A 21,990-nucleotide genomic window follows, 5' to 3' on the forward strand; every position below is an offset into this window, starting at 1 on the left:
AGCCCAGAATGGGCTGGCTGTGCTGTGGACCCAAGCCGGTAAGACCCTGCCTGGTAATAAGCAGCAGGGTGGATGACACCTGGGGGAGACAAACTGGCCTCTCCTTAGGGCAACTGCAGCTTGCTGGAGGTGTGGCTAAAGCACTCAGGGTTTTTGCTCCTTCCCTGGTCAGCAGGCAGCAAGGGCAGTACCACTGCAGTGACAGCACCCACACTTTAAATGTTAGTGTTTCCCAAGGCTCAAGTAGTTATTAAAATTCTATATCTTTTTTGTGTGTGTGTGATGGGGTCTCACTTTATCATCCAGGCTGGCGTGTAGTGGAACAATCATGGCTCACTGCAGCCTCAACCTCCCAGTCTCAAGCCATCCTTCCACCTCAGCCTCCTGAATAGCTGGGACCACAGATGCACATCACCACATCTGGCTAAATTTATTATTATTTTTTTGTTTGTAGAGACAGGCTCTCCCTGTGTTTCCCAGGCTGGTCTTAAATTCCTGGGCTCAAGTGATCTTCCCACCTCACCCTCCCAAAGCACTGAGATTCTAAGTATGAGCCACCAGGCCCTGCCTAAAATTCTATCACTTAAACATCTCTTATGTCTTTGTCTTCTTTTGTTTTTCTACTGCCTTACCTCAGGCTCTTGTTATCTTTTACCTTAACCTCTTAAATGGTCTCCTAATTGGCCTTTCTCTCTCCAGTTTCACCATTTCTAAATTCAATTTCCAATTTTTCTAATACACACATTTTCAGTTAACCTCCAAAGTTTCCACCTTTTATACACGGTCCTAAGTAAAGTTTGAAAAGGACCTCAGTGATTAGGCCGCTGCCTCCATGAGCACCACAGTTCACAGCTCTTCGATACTCACCTATGCTCCAGCCACTCCAAAAGACTTTTACATGTCCTCCATTTTCCTGTCTTTGCTCTCATACAGACTGTTCCTTCATCTGTAAATGCCTTTCCATCAGCCCCCACCCCTCCCATCTGTCTGGGAGATGTTAAACTCATACTCTTCCTTTAATACCCAACTCAAGGATCTCCTCTTCTGCAAAATCTTCCCCAATCTACCAAATTCCACATTGGCCCTGATTTTTCTGTGCTGCCACTTTCCCTAATACATACGTTTGTAATTTTACTTTTCAAGTTATATTACAATTATTTATTAACTTGTTGCCACATTGTGAGCTTATGTTTTATTTTTGCATCTCTATCAGTCTTCCTGGGATATAATAATATGTTACTAATAAACACTTGTTGATGGAGAAAATAAAGACATTAAAGATAAATACATACAGCCACTCATTAAACGTGCATTATAAAGAAGTTGCGGTTCCAAATTATCATTTTAGAAGTAGCCACAGAAGATAAGTCATACATAGTTACTTTTTAGTATTTCCAATTCAAAAAGTGATGAAGAATAGAAATCATATATTCTGGAACCCCTACTTAATAATTTATGTTAAATCTCAAACACTTTGAAATCTGGTGTTTAAGAACTGATAGTCATCACCTCCTCTCTTCTCTGTTTGCCACTTAGAAAATGACCAGTTAACAACATTCTTTATTTCACATGTATCTTATAATTAGTTGGTTTAAAAAAAAAAAAAAAGCCAGTAATCTGTTTTTTTGTTTTCTTTCTTGAGACAGATTCTCACTCTACCACTCTATTGCCCAGGCTGGAGTACAGTGGCATGATCTCAGCCCTGCAACCTCTGCCTCCCGGGTTTAAGCAATTCTCCTGCCTCAGCCTCGCAAGCAGCTAGGTGGGGCTACAGGTATGCGCCACCATGCCCAGCTTATTTCTGGTTTTTTTTTTTTTTTTTTTAAGTAGAGTTGGGGTTTCTCCATGGTGACCAGGCTGGTCTCAAACTCCTGACCTTAGGTGATCTGCCCACCTAGACTTCCCAAAGTCCTGGGATTACAGGCGTAAGCCACCACACCCAGCTCAGAAATCTGTTTATTATGACAGTTCCAGGTTATTTTGGAATTCCTGGACCAAATACACAAATCCATTCTTTTAATAGTCCTTGGAAATACGGAGCATCTGATTAGATGCCAAAAGGAAGGGAGATGCTTGGTATCCTTTTGGTGGGTCTTGAAAACACTGGGAACACTAATAACTGCTAGAACTGTTAAATAGCAGAGTCACCACTAATGGTGAAAATGCACTATTAATATAAGCCTCTTTTTTGCAGGGAGTGGAGAGTCTTTTATTCCCTAAAAATATCTGAAAGACGAAAGCAGGATATGCATCTCAACTGTAGCATAAGGCCTCTTCTGGCCCAAACAATCTTCCCTACCTCTTAAGATCTGTTCTTCCTACCATTAAAATTAGCATATTGTCTTTATAAAATCCCTGCTAAAAAGTACCTAGGAAAGTTTCTCCCATGCAAAAAATAATTATCATTACTGTGTTGGCCGCTCCGTTTGTCAGATTTTCAAAGTGAGAGCAAAACCCAAAGAGATAGGAGTGGTAAGAAACAAGAAGCTAGAGCTAGAAAAGGAAGTCTGAAAAGAGAAGGATAAGACTTGAGGCAAAATTCTGTCTGCTTTTGACTGATGATTCTCGGTTCTCCAAAGAAATGCAACCTTTGTTTTGTGCTTACTTACTTCAGTGACAAAGTGAGGACTCCTGAGTTAATGGTCTGCAAAAGCATTGAAGATTAAGAGCAATAGACAGAATTCCTAGCTTGGGGTGGGCTTCACTTACAGAGCCTTCCATGAGACCTGGCTAAATGAAACCACTCTACATTTTCATTCTTAATGAAAGTGTGAGAAAGTCTGAGAAAACCAAGAACTCTTCCTAAAATGTCAGAACTAGGAGGAAAATCCACAGTACCTTTTACAAAATGAAAGTTTAAGTAAATGATTGTACTTGATAACAATATTAGAATCCATCCTGCTTCTGGCAAAGAGAACTTTGCCTACTGTAACAAGTTTGGCTGGTCTGCTTTTTAATTTCTCCATTTCCTGCTTCCTACACTGCCACTTGTTTCTACCTCAAAGGTGATCAGTCTTCAGTGGCCTGTTCTATGTACCTACCATTTTGAACTTGTAATATCTCCCATTGATTTCATGCTGTTCTTTCTGGAATCTGTTGGCTGTGGGGGTCTGTTCTGCTATGGTATAGTATGTGCAGGCAGTTCTGTGTTTGTCTTGTTTCTTGCTTTGTCACAAGACAAGTATTTCATTACTGTGGTGTTTTTTGTTTTTTTGCTTTGAGACGGAGTTTTGCTCTTGTCGCCCAGGCTGGAGTGCAATGGCACACCCTCGGCTCACTGCAACCTCCGCCTCACTGCAAGCTTTGCCTCATGGGTTCAAACAATTCTCCTGCCTCAGCCTCCCAAGTAGCTGGGATTACAGGACCCAGCTAATTTTTGTATTTTTTTAGTAGAGATGGGGTTTCATCACGTTGGCCAGGTCGGTCTCGAATTCCTGACCTCAGGTTATTTGCCACCTCCGCCTCCCAAAGTGCTGGGATTACAAGCGTGAGCCACCACGCCCAGCCTACTGTGGATTTTTATAGGTCATTAACTCATGCATTTGAGACTGGGGCAGGAAATAAATAAGATAGTCCTTTTGGAAATACACAGTAATTGGGCAAATCCCTACAGAAAGAAAGATGCTTGATGTTATTTTGGTAAGTCCTGAAAATACCCACCAAACAAGATGATCCTGGAGCATTTTCCAGTGCTAGAAAAGTAAGAAAATCCTAAAATAAAGATACATGTATATACATTGTGTAAAGATACACAATGATGGGGACATAAAACCTAACTGAAAGAGTGCCCAGTAGCCAAAGCTGGTACAATTTGAGCAACAATATAAAGAAATATCATAGGCCGGGCGCGGTGTGTCAGCACTTTGGGAGGCCAAGGCGGGTGGATCACGAGGTCAGGAGTTCAAGACCAGCCTGTCCAAGATGGTGAAACCCCATCTCTACTAAAAACACAAAAATTAGCCGAGCGTGGTGGCAGGCACCTGTGATCCCAGCTACTTGGGAGGCTGAGGAAGGAGAATCGCTTGAACCCGGAGGGCAGAGGTTGCAGTGAGCCGAGATCACACCACTGCACCCCAACCTGGGCAATAGAGTGAGACTCTGTCACAAAAAAAATAAATAAATAAAAATAAAAGGAAATATCATATTATAACCTAAAGTATAAAATAAATATTCATAAATCAGTAGTAATATAAATGATTGAATAAATAAATGGAGGAGAAGGGAAAAGTCTCCCATGCAGAATTCCAGATAATTTACATAGCCTCTCCTCCCTCAAAAAGTCAAGCATAATCCCCCATTCCCTAAGTAGGATCTGAGCATAGTGACTTCCTTCCAAAGAGTACAGTCATGGAAAGGGGGAGAGAATGAGAACTTTACGGTAGAGAAACCTGGCAGACACTACCTCAGCCAGGTGATCAAAGTCAGCATCAACAATGCTAAGTCATGTTGGTCGTAGGCAACCTTAATATGATATGGTGAAAACAGCACTTGACCTCTGTGGTCTTCCTGCTGAAAACACACAACCCCAGTCTAATCATGGGGAAAATGTCAGATAAATCCCGAATGAGGGACAGTCTACAAAATATCTAACCAGTGCTCCCCAAAACTATCAAGGTCATCAAGAGCAATGAAAGTCTGAAAGACTGTTACAGCCAAGGGGACCTAAGGAGACATGAGGACTAACTATAATGCAGTGTCCTAGATGAGATCTTAGAACAGAAAAAGAACGTGATGGCATGGCATGGTGGCTCCCACCTGTACTCCTAGCATTGAGACTTGGGGTAATCAGATAAGAGAAATTTTATATAAATGAAACTATGCCAACATGTTACTTTCTCCAGTTTACATTTATTTTCCAATAAATATTTCTCAAATGACCCTGAGTGATATAATGGTCAGGACAGGTCAGCAGGGGAAAAATATAGGTAGATACATTTTGTTTTTAAAAATAAGCTTTTACTTTTAGAACAGTTTTAGATATACAGAAAAATGTGGCCAGTTGTGATGACTCACGCTTATAATCCCAGCACTTTGGGAGGCCAAGGAAGGCAGATCACTTAAGCCCAGGAGTTCGAGACCAGCCTGAGCAACATAGCAAGATCCCCATCTCTACAAATAATTTTAAAAATCAGCCAGCATGGTGGCGTGTACCTGTGGTCCCAGCTGCTCAGGTGGCTAAGGTAGGAGGATCACCTGAGCCTAGGAAATCACGGCTGCAGTGAGCCATGATTGTGCTACCACACTCTAGCCTGAGTGATGGAGTGAGACCCTGTTTCAAAAATAAAAAAAAGAAAAAAAAAAGAACATTACCTAAAAACTGAGGAAATCTGAATAAACTAGAGGCTTCAGTTAATAATAGTATATCAATTTTGGTTTAACAATTGTGGCAAATGTAGCATACTAATGTCATATGTTAATAATATGGGAAACTAGGTGGCATATGGGGGAACACTGCGTACTATCTTCACATTCTTCTGTACATCAATTTTTTTTTTTTTGAGACAGAGTGTCGCTCTGTTGCCCAGGCTGGAGTGCAGTGGCGCGATCTCAGCTCACTGCAACCTCTGCCTCCCAGGTTCAAGCAATTCTCCTGCCTCCGCCTCTTGAGTAGCTGGAATTACAGGTGACCTCACCATGCCCAGCTAATTTTTAAAATTATTTGTAGAGATGGGGACCTTGCTATGATGCTCAGGCTGGTCTCAAACCCCTGGGCTCAAGTGATCTGCCCTCCTTGGCTTCCCAAAGTGCTGGGATTACAGGCATGAGCCATTGCACCTGGCCACATTTTTTTGTATATCTAAAACTGTTCTAAAAGTAAAAGCTTATTTTTAAAAACTAAATGTATCTACCTGTATTTTTCCCCTGCTGACCTGTCCTGACCATTGTATCACTCAGGGTCATTTGTGAAATATTTATTGGAAAATAAATGTAAACTGGAGAAAGTAACATGTTGGCATAGTTTCATTTATATAAAATTTCTCTTATCTGATTACCCCAAGTATCGATTTGTCATCTGTAGATGCTTCAGAAGGCCCTAAGTAATGGTAAGGGATCCCCAGTTTATATGCCTATGTTTCTCACCCAGGTGTATATAACCCTTGAGTCAGTGGCAACACACCAGCAAATGAGTGAAGTCACATGACAATTTTACTGGAAGATTGGTTCAGCACACGAGGAGAAGGAGTTAGTGGTTAGGTTTAAAAATACATCATAGAATACAAATTTCAAAGTAAAGTACACTTTCAGGCTCCTGGTTACACTTCTTTTGCCATTGAAAATACTCCAGCATAAGAGTTTGAGAAGCACTGCCATGAACAACCCAAGTATTGTTCATAGATTGAACACCTGATACATGGTACATAATGTGAATACAGATATACATTCATATATATTACTGTTTTTCAAGGGAACATGGATGCTGCTGTGATTAATGAAACACACTTACATATATCAGAAGAGGAAGGCTCAGTGGAGGCTCAGCTACTGTCTCAGCCAAAGTCCTTGCCCTGCATCCCCTCACTCCACCCTCAGCATCTTGCCTGGGGTCTCCTGGTTCTGACCTCCAGCTTCTCTGGCACCTGAGTTCCCCTCTAGCTGGGTGCGAATTAGCCCTTTTCTACCTGTCAGCTCCTGTTGCCCAGCATCTACCTGATGGCCACACTTCCTGCTCCTGCAACTCAGAATCAAAGATTTCAGCGGCACCTGTCCCTTAACACTCCTCTCAGCCTAGCTCTGGTGTCAGAATGCTTCTGTTTTTAGTGTCTGCTGCCTTTCTTATTTTTTTCCCCAGAAACTGAAAAGCTGAATCAGTACTCAATTTTCCCAACTTTAACAAGGATTTACTTTGAAAAGTTGTCCAGCATTTTTAGACTACTTCCTTTGATAGAAGCTCAGACTTATCAAAACATGTATACCCTGTATGACTGCTTTCCTCTCACAATTGGGCCCATAGAACATACAGACAGAAGGGAGGCAGAGAAGAGTACATTAATTTCCTGGGACTGCCATAACAAAGTACCACAAACAGCCCAGGCAGGGTGGCTCATGCCTGTAATCCCAGGAATTTGGGAGGCCAAGGTGGGTGGATCACCTGAGGTCAGGAGTTCGAGACCAGCCTGACCAACATGGTGAAACCCCATCTCTACTAAAAATACAAAAATGATCCGGATGTGGTGGCAGGCACCTGTAATCCCAGCTACTCAGGAGGCTGAGGCAGGAGAATCGCTTGAACTCAGGAGGTGGGGGTTGCAGTGAGCCAAGATCACAACATTGCACTCCAGCCTGGGCAACAGAGGGAGACTCCATCTCAAAGAAAAAAAAAAAAAAGTACCACAAACCAGCTGGCTTGCTTACACGACAGAAATGGATTCTCCCATAGTTCTAGAGGCCAGAAGTCTGAGATCAAAGAGTCAACAGGATTAGTTCCTGTGGAGGGCTGTGAGAAGGAATCTGTAATTATGAAAAAAAAAATGAGAATAAACAGTAACGGAGCATCCTTTGTGCGCGCTTCCATGCTAAGCTCAAAAACATAATATTGAAGGAAAGGACTGAAATATATATGCATATATATATACACACATATATATAATGTGTGTGTATATTTTATATATATATATATATATATATATACACATATCATTATTTTGCTTTTCTTTATATTATTACCCCAAATAAACACTTACCTCTTGGGATAAATATTTTGGGACATTTGTCCTATTATTTAGGATAATAATATAAAGAAAAACAAAACAATGATTAACACAAAACTCAGGATAGTAGTTACCTGGGGTGAAGGTGCAGGCAGGAAGGGGATGCAATGGGGAAAGGGGGACATAGTGGCTTCAAAGCACTGGCAAGATAAGTCATTAGCTGGATGGATGGAGGGTGCATGAATGTTTATTCTTCTTTAAACAACGTAAATGCTTTATACACCTATCAGAAGTTGGGATTATAGGAAACAGCCTCTGAGATGGAGATTATTATATAAGAGATTTATCTGGGTGTGTTCTTGGAATCAACAACCGTGGGAGGAAATTGAAGGAAGCAGAATCCAGTAGGGGAAGAATTTGATCGGCAAAGCAGTCTCAGTGGAGGTCTTGGTCAACCACATAGAGAGTTTTGAACCTCGGATGGCCCTTCGGAGTTTTCCTGATTTGGTGGTGGGAGACAGCTCTTTATACACCATGTTAGTCAGTCACTGCATGCAGCCCACCTGGGAGACGATCTTGAACTTTGGCAAAGACGCTCTCATCAGCTGAGGCCATCCACACAGGGTGCTGACAACTAAAGGCTTTTTGCTGGCAATGTTCCCAGCAGCCGAGACAAAGTCCTTCATTCCTGAAAGGAACTGAGCAGCACCTCACAGTGTCCACCACAACACGGGTTTATATATTTATATATTTTTCACAATAAAAGTTGTTATTTAAAAAAAGAAAATGGTTAAGGCAAGAAGGCCAAGCTATAAAAGGGTATCCTTTAGGGATGGTACAAAATCTCAGACAAAACGAAGTCAAGAGCATAGCTAGAGGAATACTGATGTGGAAGAAAGCTGAGCACAGGGTTGGGAGTGTCTGCCCATGGAGTTGTACACAGATTTTCTGCTGGTGGAGGTGAAACCAGTGAATCAGATGTGATTCGGTAATATAACCCAGACTATGACTAACAGACATCGTGGAGTCAGCTTCACTGGGGTGAGTTAGTTTGACAACTCCCAGAAAACTAATGTTGCTAACTGGCCTCTGCTTGGTCCCCACCCAACTGTAAGGAGCATAAGTAGATAGAGACTTTTTGTTTGTTTGTTTAAGATGAAGTTTTACTCTTGTCTCCCAGGCTGGAGCACAATGGCGCGATCTTGGTTCACTGCAACCTCCATCTCCTGGGTTCAAGCGATTCTCCTGGCTCAGCCTCCCGAGTAGTTGGAATTACAGGTGCGTGCCACCATGCCTGGCTAATTTTTTTGTACTTTTAGTAGAGACGGAGCTTCACCATGTTGTCCAGACTGGTCTCAAATTCCTAGCCTCAGGTGATCCACCTGCCTTGGTCTCCCAAAGTGCTGGAATTACAGGCATGAGCCACACTGCACCTGGCCTGTGGATGGAGACTTTTATCCTCAGGCTGAGAGATGTGTGTTTCTTTGATTATACAATGGAAGAGGGTCCACTCGGGTGCTGAAAGATACCTTGAGAATTCTAGTGTTAAAATATACTCAAATCATCATAGGAGGCCACTTCGACTTCTTTCCCATTGCCAACCATCTCATAGGAATAAAAGCTACTGTGTATTAATTCTTCGCTATGAATCAGGCACTGTCCTAAGTGCTTTACCTGTATTATCTCAATCATTCTTTACAACAGCTAAATGACACAGATACTATCAATATTTTCTATTGTGTTGATAAGAAACGGGAGGTACAATTGCATGTGCTTCAATTGCTTACTCAATGTCTCCAAGCTAGTAAGTAATAAGACCAGCACTGTTTGTAGGCTGGCTGCCCCAGAAGCTATCTTTTGTCTGAACACTTAACTGCCTGCCAGAGATAGGAGAGCATCAAGCTTGGTTTTGACAAGAGCTCTGTGTGTTGCACAGTTCTCTGGGCATGGATACAGCTTGACTTACTGGTCAAGTAGGAAGGGCTCAGTGCTGAGATGCAGACGTAGTGTCCAGGCATGGAGGGCATGCCTGTTGGGAGAATGCTGGTGGGGACAGACAGCAAGGGCTCTGAGGTCTGGAGACAATCTTAACCTGGCTCCAGCTCTGACTCCAAAGCAGCCCCCAGGATCTCCACTCTAAGCCCCCAAGACAGTTCCACATGGAAATTCACTCCTCATGAGCACAAATATGGGGATCAACTAGAATCATGACCTGAAGTTCTTGTCTGGAGATGGATTTTGAGAGTGAGGCGAGCAATACCACTAGACAAGGAAGGATGCTCTGAAGATTTCTTAATTCCTTGGAAGGCAACAGAAGCTAAGTGAAAAATCAAGAGGAAAAAATGTCTTCTCTGAAGCAGAAAATGTCAACACTAGGATGGGAACTTTTAGGGTTATTCCCACTGAAGATGGGTTAACAGCCAGACCCTGGAGGCAAACTGGCTAGGTCAATGACCTAACTCCAAAATTGGGTAATGAGTGACCCTAGAAAAGTTACTGAAACTCTCTGTACCTTCGTTAGCATGGACACCCACCTCCTAGCACTGCCGCCAAGTATATACAGCAACACCTGTCAAGTGTTTAGAACAGGGCCTTACCTGTTTTAAGTACCTCTGTGTTATTATTATTAGCAATCCCTACTTCTTTCTAGGTAGAAGGACATCATTGTTCACCTTGACAATTCCATCCCAGCCTTTCTTTTTTTCCTCCAGGAAGTCAGGGTGTGGTTCGGGGATCAAAATCATTCAGAGTAGCAGAGTAGTGAGTCATCATTCTGTCTAGAAGGAAGGCAAGTATCTACACTAATAAGCAAGTATACCTGGAAACACATCAAACTTTATGATTTAAAAAATAGAAGAAGTCGGACTTAGTGGTACACACCTGCTACTCGGGAGGCTGAGGTGTGAGGATCACTTGAGCCCAGGAATTCAAAGTTACCATGAGCTATGATCGTGCTATTGCACTCCAGCCCGGGCAACAAAGCAAGACTTTGACTCTAAAAAGTCAAAATAAATAAATAAATAAATAAAGTAATAAAGTAATAAAAATTAAAAATAGAAGACACAATCACACTCTCTGGCCCTCTGATTCCTTATGTATAAAGTGTGGTAGGGGTTGTGGATTCCACTGGGGGCTCACAAATTGGGTTCTGCAGAGCCCTGGTATTCCCCAAAGGTGTACTGGCCTCCCAGGACGTATGGAGCAGAAGCCATGCAGGCAGGACCCCAGCCCCCACTTCAGCCAGAGCAGTTCCACTTGCATCTGTTTTCTACATTGTAACTGTAAGAATAAAATATCTGTAGATGGAAATGGAGCAGGCCCCTGACGAAAAATGTAATCAAGCTCTTCCTGGAGAAGAGTCTCAAAGCTCCTCTTTTTGTAATTAAGAATGCAGCCATTAAAATATTACACCCTTTTCTTTTATTCATGACAAATCCGAATGAGCACAATTTGGAAAGCAGCAGGGAGGGGAATGAACAAATTGAATTAATTTCTATGCTGAATATTAATATCGTGCCACAGAAAGGGAGATGCTTTGCAAATTTAAGGCAGTTAAGAAAACATTTTTATGCTTCTTAGTAATTTAGACAGCACTGCTTCTGAAAAGTGCTTTTCTCCTGGCAGTTGTGTATGTTTGGTCCAGCAGGCAGACTCACTATAGTTGACTTCTCTGTTAGGCACGGTGCCTAGGGCCCATGACACTTTTAGGGGCCCACAAAAATGTTGTAACTTTCATTTCTATTAAAATCCAAATACATGTATATATATATACAATTACATATAATAATGAATTCAGCCTGGATTACACTCCTCTTTGGGCCAGTGTAGTCATAAAATACAATTTTTAATATTTTTACGAGGACAGGGTTTATGAAAGCAAAGTGCCCACAGCCCCCCAAAGTCATAAATCTGTCCTGATGACTGCAACTCACTGCAGTGAAAGGGTCACAACGGGGACCTGCTGTGCAGACCCCAAGCCCAGCTTAGACTCCACCTTAAGTGTCAAGTCCATGCAATGTGTTGTGGACTTAGCTGTGTCCACAGCCTCCCGTTTTTCCTAATGATCCCTTGCCTATGAATGTGATCCCTTTCTATTCAAACTGTGGTGGCACATCAACAGGATGGGCATCACCTGGGGACTTGGTAGAAATGCATCATCTCTAGCCCCACCTAAGACCTACTGAATCAAAATCTGCATTATACCACATTCTCTTCCCCTATCTAGCCCCAGATTGAGGAGATCACATCCCAACCAGGGCCTGCGCACAGGGCTTCAAGGAAATGACCAGCAGCAAAGTGACCGAGGTGCACAGCGAAGCCAGAATCAATGCAGAAGATTGGGAGACATCTACTTTCAGCTTCCAAGTAACCACCTTACTGGGGGTGAAAGACAGAAACATCTGCTTTCTCCCTATGTCCTAGATAAAGGGGAGACGGGTGCTAGTTCATAGGTTACATTAAGTTTTCTTCTTAAAGAGGTGTTTGCATTGTTTTGAAATGTTTGAAAACTCTCTAAATTGAATGAATTCATAAGTTCCTTCCTGCTATAAGTGGCCTATTTCAGCCCTAATCCTCCTGGCCTTGGGAAGTTTAGCAGCACCAATCACTTCTTCTCTCCAGCTTCTAACCGGTTGGAGAAACGTGCACAAGGAGCCTGAAGATGATAAAAGGACAGTGCCAGCTTTACTACCAGTAAAGCTGAATGGGGAAGAAAATAAATTCCCACCCCCTTGGAAAGGCCTGGTTGCCCTATAGCCATATCAATAAGTGGCACTCAGAACCAGTTTGGAACCTGGTCAAGCCAGCAACAACAATTTGCTTTGGTGAAGAGCTTTTACAAGTTGTTTACAATCAGCATTAGCTGCTTACTTCTGAAAGCCAGCCAATCACAGACTCACCTCAATAAATACACTATAGTGACAACCAATTACCAATAGCCTCATCTGTGTACCCACACCTCTGCGGATGATGTTGAAGCTCTTAAGCCTCTGCAACTTCGCCAGTCACTGAACTTCACACTTCCGTGAGACTCTATATAAATTAGCGGTCTGCTCCAAGAGACTGTACTTCCTTTGCTATGCTTAACAATCCATTCGATTTTGTCTTTTTTATTTTTAGTATGGGATGATAGTCTCATCATACTTTGATACCCTGAACCTCAGAATCTGCATGAATATAACCTCTCCAACCAAATCCAGGTAGAGAAGTTTAATTGGCTAACTAAACTTCATATTTTAACTACATAGAAGAGGCCAAGAGGGCCCTGGCATCCTCTTAGTGATATGAACAGCTGGTAGGGGAAGAGAGAGAATAAGAGGAATCCTGGTTTTCACTGTCCAAGGAGTGGGAAGTCCACTGGACTCTCTCTCTCCATCTTACCAGCATGTTAGTTACTTCTCAGGGGAGGGAGGATGAGGAAGAGGAAAGATGAGGGGATGGAGAGAGGAGGTGGAAATAATATTTCAAAATGGTTTACTATGGTGTGAATGTTTGCATTTCCCCAAAATTCATATGTTAAAATCCTAACCCCAAAGGTATGATATTTAAGAGGTGGGGCCTGTGGGAGGAAAGTACATTATGAGGGTGGAGCCTTCGTGATTGGGATTAATGTCCTTATAGAAGAGACCCCAGAAAGCTATATAGCCCCTTCCACAGCGTGAAGACACAGCAAGAAGACATCATCTATGAAGCAGAAAGCCCTTGCCAAAACCCAAATCTGCAAGTGTCTTGATCCTGGACTTCTTAGCCTCTAGTTGTGTGAGAAACAAACTTCTGTTGTTTATAAGCTACCCAGTTCATGGTACTTTGTTATAGCAGTCCATATGGACAAAGATAATATTCCTTCCAGAGATTGGAGCCAAATCTCCTCATAGAAACAGGAGAAAGAGACAATAAGGGCTTCCCGTAAACATTCTTTATCCTAACAGTTTTGCAAATTGATTGGGGAGAGAAGGTGTAAATACTTAAAGCAATTGATATGGTTTGGCTCTGTCTCCCCACCCAAATCTCATCTCAAACTGTAATTCCCACGTGTTGAAGGTGGGGCCTGGTGGGAAGTGATTAGATCATGGGGGTGGTTTCTAATTGTTTAGTACCATCGCCCTAGTGATGGCTCATGAGTGAGTTCTCACGAGATCTGATGGTTTAAAAGTGTGTGGCACCTCCCACTTTGCACTCTCTCTCCTGTGCCATGTAAGGCATGTATTGCTTCCCCTTTGACTTCCGCCATGATTGTAAGTTTCCTGAGGCCTCCCCAGCCAGGTGGAACTGTGAGTCAATTAGACCTCTTTTCTTTATAAGTTACCCAGTCTCAGGTAGTTCTGTATAGTAGTGTGAAAATGGACTAATAACAGCAATTAAGAAACACTTATAGGGCAAAATATTCTGAGAATAAGACTATTGGTAATAATGTGAAGGATTCTTAGAAAACATGGAATTTGAGATGATCTTGGAGAGATGAATTAAATTCATCAAAAATCACCCGGTGATTATGAAGCACCACGGTGTCCAGCATTGAGTCCTGAGCTGTATAAACAAGCAGTCACAATTTCTACCCTCAAGAAGCTCACAGTCTGAGTCTTCTGGTTCTCAAATCTAGTTATACTTTAGGATCACCTGAGAAGCTTTTTTTAAAAATGCCCATAATCCTGATTTAATTGGTCTGAGTGAGTCCTGGCCATCAGTATCTTTTAAAGCCTCAGGTGTAGGAAAAGAGTTCTTGAAGAGACAAAACAAAAGATAATCATAAAAGAAAAAAATGTTTAACTTAATTAAAATAAGACTATTAAAAGACATCACCAGGAAAGTGAAAAGACAAGCCACAGACTGATTGAAGAGATTGACAATGCATATATCCAACAACTGGAAACAACACAAATGTCCCTCAATAGGAGAATGGATAAATAAATTGTAGTGCATTGATACAAGGGGATACTAGACAACAATAAAAATTATGAACTACTGACACATGGAACAAGGTAGATGAATCTCATAGGCACTTTATTGAGAGAAAGAAGACAAAAGAGTACATACTGAGTAATTCAATTGTTAAAATTTTAAGAACATAGGTAAAACTAATTTACGGCAGTCGACAGTCATCTTTTAGTGACTTAACTGGGAAGGGACACAGCAGAATGTTATGAAAAAACTGTGGATGTTTGTTTTTTGAATCTCAACCTGGGGGGCATGATACAGAAGGTATATACAAGGATAATCCTTAGAGAAGATGGCTGGAGCCATCAGCAACCGACACACCCAGCCACTGGGGGAAATGAGCATCTTAGTCCTGGGAGGGATATCTGGGCAGAGTCTCAGCATCCACTACACCCTACACTGCGTGATCTAATGTGGAACTTGGGGCTGAGACGTACTGGTCTAAATCAGTGATTCTCAAAGGGCAGTCCCTGACAAGCAGCATCAGCACCATCTGAGAACTTGTTAGAAATGCAAATTATTGACCCTCTAATGAATTGGAAACTCTGGGTTGAGCCTAGCAATCGGCTTTCGCAAGCCCTCCAGGTGATTTCAATACGAACTAATATTTGAGAACAACTGGTCCAAAGGGGTTTCACTTGAGATCGAGAGGGGATTTTATTTTTCTTTTCTTTTTTTTTTTTTTTTTTTGAGAAATGGAAGGAATCCTGGCAATGTCACAAAGCATGTCAAATATAACATGGACAGAGAATGCAGTTTGGAGAAAAGTGAACGAGAAAACTGTTTAGCAAATGGGACTAATTACTAGATCTTATTTAAAATTTTTTTCTCTTAATCCAATAGACCATATGGAAATCATGTAGATTCTTAAACAGCCTGGCAGAGGAGCAAGGTAAAACACAGGGAAGAGAATCTCTATACAGTGAAAATTCTAATAGGAGACATTTGAAATCATCTTTGTGAAAAGTAAGGAGGATAAAAAGTATGAGTGTTAACAGTAAAAATGGGAAGGAAAAAATGACTCTGAGAGACTCCACAATGATTTGCATCAGAATTTGAATCTCCAGTGGGGTGAGGAAGCAAAGGTTACTATAAAGTATTTTTGTTTTTACATTAAAAATAGAGGCAGGGTTTTGCTATGTTGCCCAGGATGGTCTCAAATTCCTAGGCTCAAGTGATCCTCCCACTTCTGCGTCCCAAAGTGCTGGGATTACTGGCATGAGCTACCATGCCTGGCCACTACAAAGTTTTGAGATTTTCATCACTAGGACAATAGGAGTCACCAACACAAATGGGGAAGTCAGGAAGAGAATCCATACTGAAAGGAACATGAATTTTGTCTTCTGTTTTGGAAAGTAAGCCTATCACATCCAGGTGGAGCTGTTTTATAAACAGCTAGAAATGTAGGACAGGCAGAGTGCAGTGGTTTATGCCTGTAATCCCAACACCTTGGGAGGCTGAGGCAGGAGGATGGTTTGAGCCCAGGAGTTCAAGACCAGGCAGGGCAGCATATGAAAAAATGTCTTACATGTTGACAGAAATGTGTTTGGTAGAAGTCAAGCAAAATGAGGCATAAGAAAGCATCATTGAATGATGATAAAAATGAGGTCCGAAGTGATCTTATTGCATGTTTTGGTCCATGTAAACTGAATCCTACCCATTTCTCCAACATGTAACACTCCTATAACTAGTCACCTTTCCACTTATACAGTAAGCTATTCAGGAAAGTGACTTGGATCTGTTAGAGTGGAATCCAGAATGTGACCCATTTCTTCCCTTTGCATTTCTTTCCCTCTTTCTGCCTCCTATCCCCATCATTTGTCTGGCTCATTTCATCCATCAGGCCTCAGCTCAACTGGCACTCCTCAAAAAGACTTTCTGTGGCTACTCTCAGGGTCCCCTCTAGTTACCTGTTTATTTCTCCTACAGTACTTTTAGAGCAAACCCTTCTTAAAAATAAACTCTAAAATATAACTGAGGGCTCTTTTTTTCAGATGCTTGACTAGCAATTCATGTTACTCATCATCTTGCTTCCAATGTTCCACCACATCTGTTCCTGCCTCTTGGATTTGGGTACAGACACCTTTCCCAGGGCTTGGAAGTGGCTTTCTAAGATTTACATTGATCAACCTAGGGTTAAAACCCTTTCAGGCTGCTGGCACTTCTGCTTGCGCTAGTGTGAGGGCTTATCTCACCACTGAAATGCTGGTTCTCCTGCAGTTGCACTTGGTGGGTCCAGTTTCCCTTTTCTGTAAGCCACAGAGGGTGGGGAAAAGAGCTCTGCCTTTTCCTGTTTCTATTCACTCTTCTTTCCCCTCTACTCCGTCAGTGTGCCACACCCCAGGCTCCTAGCCTTCTCCAACCCAGCCAAAGGAAGCCTCAGAAGACCGTTCTCATCTCCCAGTAGGCTCTGGACACTCACAAATACAATTCTGAATTAGCAGTCAAAAATACGCATATAAGTTTTGTTTACATAGAATCTCAGCTCTCTCAAAATCCCCTGTTTACCTCACAACTGGATTTTACATGTATCAACAAGCACAGCAAAATGCAAGATAATTTTTATGAAATGTAAACCTCTCTGTGACTTCTAAGGGGAGAAACGTAGTCTTTTGTTCCCATCTCAGATCCGCCAGAGTTGCCTACTTAGTTTGAATACAAATTTGAGTTACAATAAATTATCCTGAGCCATTCCAGGCTAACCACTATTTCGGTTTCCAGATCAGTCCCCATTAAACATCAAAATTGCAAGACACGTCACCTCAGTGGAGCCACTGCCTTGATTTGCAATGTTTGATCTGGCACCAATACAGGTTTCTTGACTTCTTAATATACTCTTTCTTATTTTTTCACTAAAATTAACAAAAATGAATTTAGTATTTTGCTTAAGTAGGAAATTGAAACATTCCAAGCGTTACGCATCTTAAATTATGTAAGTATGCAAGTATTTTTTTTCTGCTTTCTTTCATACGCATTACCACCTCTGCAGGAGAAGTAAAAGTGAAACCCAGCCAGGCGAGGTGGCTCACTCCTGTAATCCCAGCACTTTGGGAGGCTGAGGTGGGCACATCATGAGGTCAGGAGATCGAGACCATCCTGGCTAACACTTTGAAACCCGGCTCTAATAAAATTACAAAAAAATTAACCGGGCATGGTGGCGGGCGCCTGTAGTCCCAGCTACTCGCGAGGCTGTGGCAGGAGAATGGCGAGAACCCAGGAGGCGGAGCTTGCAGTGAGCCGAGATCGTGCCACCGCACTCCAGCCTGGGTGACAGAGACAGACTCCATCTTTAAAAAAAAAAAAAAAAAAGTGAAACCCAAGAATCCTCTAGCTGTAGGAAAGGAATGGCTAGAGCCAAGAGAAAATTAAACTTGACTAAAATGTGTCATATAATTTCTTATATTTCATTGGGCTATCATCCTTCCCTCCCATGAGCACTGGATTTATTTAGGAGGCTTATCATCTTACAAGTTACTTTAATACAATTGTTCCAGAAAACAGAAGAATTATTAGACTTGTATTTTGAAAAATAAGCCTCAAACTCAGCAATAAGAACCCAAATACCGCAACAATTAAAAAACGAGCCAAAGGCCAGATGCAGTAGCTCATGCCTGTGATCCCAGCCTTTAAGAGGGAGGACTGCTTGAGACCTGGAGTTTGAGGTCAGCCTGGGAAACATAGCGAGACCCCATCTCTACAAAAAATAAAAAATTAGTCTAATGTGGTAGCACATGCCTGTAGTCCTAGCTACTCAGGAGGCTTAGGCAGGAGGATCATTTGAGCCCAGGAGTTTAAGGCTCCAGTGAACTATGATTGTGCCACTTGCACTCTAGCCTGGGCGACAGAGTGAGACCTCACCTCTTAAAAAATAAAGAACCAAAGACCTTAAAAGACACATCACCAAAGAAGACATACAGATGACAAATAAGCATATGAAAAGGTGCTCCATATCATATGAGAAATGCAAGTTAAAACAACGAGAATCCAGAACACTGACAACATCAAATACTGGTGAGGATGTAGAGCTACAGGAACTCTTACTCATTGCTGGTAGGAATGCGAATTGGTACAGCCACTTTGGAAGACAGTTTGCCAGTTTCTTATAAAATTAAACATATTGTTACCATGTGATCCAGTAACCACACTCCTTGATATTTACTCAAAGAAGCTGAAAACATGCCTACACAAAAATCTGCACACAGATGCTTATAGCAGCTTTACTCATAATTGCCAAAACTTGGAGGCAACCAAGATACCCCCAGTAGGTGAATGGATAAATAAACTGTGGTACATCCAGACAATGGAATATGATTCAGTGCTAAGAGAATGAGATATCAAGCCATGAAAAGACATAGAGGAAACTTACATAAATATTACTAAGTAAAATAAGGCAGTTTGAAAAGGCTACACACTGTATAATTTCAACTATATGCCATTCTAGTGAAGGTAAAACTTAAAGACAGAAAAAAAAAAATAATCAGTGCTTGCCAGAGATAAGTGGGAGGAAGGGATAGATAGGTAGGGCACAGAGGATTTTTAGGGTTCCTGTTGCTCTACTCTGTATGATACTATAGTGATAGACATATATCATTATACATTTGTCCATTTGTATAATGGGTGAACCATCATGTAAACTGTGGATTCTAGTGATAATGATGTGTACATGTAGGTTCATCATTTGTGACAAATGTACCACTCTAGTGGGGATGTTGATAATGGAAGAGTCTATGTATGTGTGGGGGCGGAAGATATATGGAAAATATATCATCTATTCAATTTTTCTATGAACCTAAAACTACTCTAAAATATAAAGTCTATTTTTAAAAATATGCTTCTGTGTTTTAAAAACAAGGACTGTAGAATTATTAATGTTTTCCAAGATGAAAATCACTGTAATCACTTATCAATGAAAGGAAAATGTTACATATTATCAATTGGATTCTAATAAACAGAATATAATTTATTTGAAGAAGCACAGAATTGATTTATCTCCAGAGATGAGTTTAGCTTTCAAATCATCAGAGATACAGATTACCAACAATTAAATACTATGCTATAGCATGGTAGTTTCCAGGCTTCTAAAGTATAAAAACATATTTTCAATATCAAAAATATTTTCAGAATGTCACTTCATAAGTACCATGTATTAATCATTTAATAAGAAAAATGACACCTAAGAGTAGACTATGAGGCCATATGGAATGAGATCTTTGCCCAGCAGAGATGACAGGTACTAACTCTACCAATCAGATTCTCCTTATTGCAAGTTTGAAATGGAGACACACAAAGTCATGAACCAGCAGGGAGCCTGAGGGAGCAAAACCCTTGAGTAACCAAGAAGCCTCTCGAATGAACAGGAGACCAGTTGAGTGGTACTTACCTCCCTCCAACCACATTTCATCTGGTTCATCTTTTTTATTTATTTTTGCTTTTCCAGACAAATAAGAAGGGGCTGGGCAGAGGGAAGTAGAAGTAAGTTAATTAATTTATAGCCTTGGAAGGGGCAGCAGCAGGGCCAGGAAGGAGTTGAGTCACGTTAATGGCTCAGCAGAGTAGGGACTGCCGGGGTGAACAGATAACCTAAAGCTGCCTTGAGCCTGTCTGGAATGATCTTGCCAGTCCAGAAGGAGTCTGTTCTCCAGGAAGCTCAGGCACAATTAGGTTCTTATTTTCCTGCTCAGAGATGGAGGAGTTCCTGTTCTTGATACCTCATCACCTGACTGAGACCCCCCATCTTCCTTAATTCCCCCATTTCCTTGTAATAAATACTTCAGAATTGAGGTAACTTGAGTTTATCATTGTTCTTTATAACTAAAAATTATAGCTAGCACAGAAATTAAATTTATTTTGTCATAATGAATATTTGTCAACCATGAAGACAAACAAAAATATACTTAGCATTGTACATTATTTTTCTTGCTCCTCCTACTTTTTATCTTTTTAAAAGGAAAGCAGAAGGCAGTCTTTTAGGTGATAAGCAATTGTAAAATAAAGAAAACCTACCTTCTGTTTTAATCACTGGTACAGTAAATGTATTCTTTCTCAATGGGATATAGTTACCTATAAATGAGGCTCTTTTAGGAGTTTAGAATACTTTCCCTTAAAGTTTCAAATGTTTGTAGTGTAAATAACCAATTTCACTGATGTTTAGAAGGGAAGGTAGAGGCCGGGCGCGGTGGCTCACACCTGTAATCCCAGCACTTTGGGAGGCCGAGGCAGGCAGATCACGAGGTCAGGAGATCGAGACCATCCTGGCTAACATGGTGAAACCTTGTCTCTACTAAAAATACAAAAAATTAGCCAGACGTGGTGGCGGGCACCTGTAGTCCCAGCTACTTGGGAGGCTGAGGTAGGAGTATGGTGTGAACCTGGGAGGTGGAGGTTGCAGTGAGCCAAGGTCGTGCCACTGTACTCCAGCCTGGGCGATAAAGCGAGACTCTGTCTCAAAAAAAAAAAAAAAAAAGGGAAGGTAGAGAGGAATGTTATGATTCACATTCACAAGCATCATGAATGGTTCTCTTCAAAAGTTCATTTGGATAAAAATTTGGCCTAATTTGGAAGTACTGGTTCCAGTTACTGATTACAGAGCCTATTTTTATATAACATGTTTCAAATTTGTTACTTTTGCTAATAAGTGTGTGATAATCATGTCTGTGTGTGTGAATTGTTTCAAGGTTTATCATTCTATTAAAGTTAGGGTTATGCAATGTGGCAGAATTATAATATTGATAGTGTAATGTGATTTAATCTAGAATTCAATGACTATCTTGTTGAGGGTGCCTACTAGAATTAGAATTTTTTTATACAAGACAAATGAATGTTCACTTTCATGTTCAACAATTGAGTAAATGATCTGTAATTTTAGGATATCTAATCCATCAAGGACATTGCAGCATGGTTATCTTAAATATTTATCACTGAAGAGAATCCAATTAATCATCCCAAATCATATTTCCACTTATATAGGCCTCCAACATTTCTACCTTCCATTTTTATTCTTCAGACTATCCAGGTGTACTGGGTTTAAGAATCAAAGTGTTTAAAGGGTATATCTTCACATTCTGATATTACTGTTTTACTATATCACTTTTTTGGAGCGTTTGTTTGCTTATCGTTGCTGTACCCCCAACAAAAACCTGGATGCCTAATAAAGAACCAGGCAAATCATTGCAAAACATTGGGTTGTTTTTTATTTTGTTTGTATTCTAAGGTTAGTTTTTTGCTTTCATTTGCAAAACTCAAATAATGAAAATATTTTATTGCTACCTAAAAAGCATCAAATAGTTCAACTTGACTTTATATCATCCAGTGATCAAGGGGCTTACAAAGAAACAAAAGAAGTCCAGTGATAGAGCTGAGAAAACGAGGGAATGTAGTAAAGGATGAGCTGGTGACACCAAAACCTGCA

At 41.1% G+C, this 21,990-nt stretch overlaps 1 long non-coding RNA gene across 1 annotated transcript in view; it reads left to right on the forward strand.

The window, feature by feature from the left end:
* LOC124901731 (uncharacterized) overlaps positions 1-21,757 on the forward strand; it is a 37,459-nt gene extending 15,702 nt beyond the window's left edge. The window contains exons 2-3 of the long non-coding RNA XR_007060489.1: positions 8,830-8,927; positions 11,875-21,757. This is a non-coding gene — a long non-coding RNA (uncharacterized LOC124901731). The remainder of the gene's footprint in view (positions 1-8,829; positions 8,928-11,874) is intronic.
* The last annotated feature ends 233 nt before the right edge of the window (positions 21,758-21,990 follow it).

This window comes from Homo sapiens, chromosome 7 (genome assembly GCF_000001405.40).
Source record: "Homo sapiens chromosome 7, GRCh38.p14 Primary Assembly".
Lineage (NCBI taxonomy): Eukaryota > Metazoa > Chordata > Mammalia > Primates > Hominidae > Homo > Homo sapiens.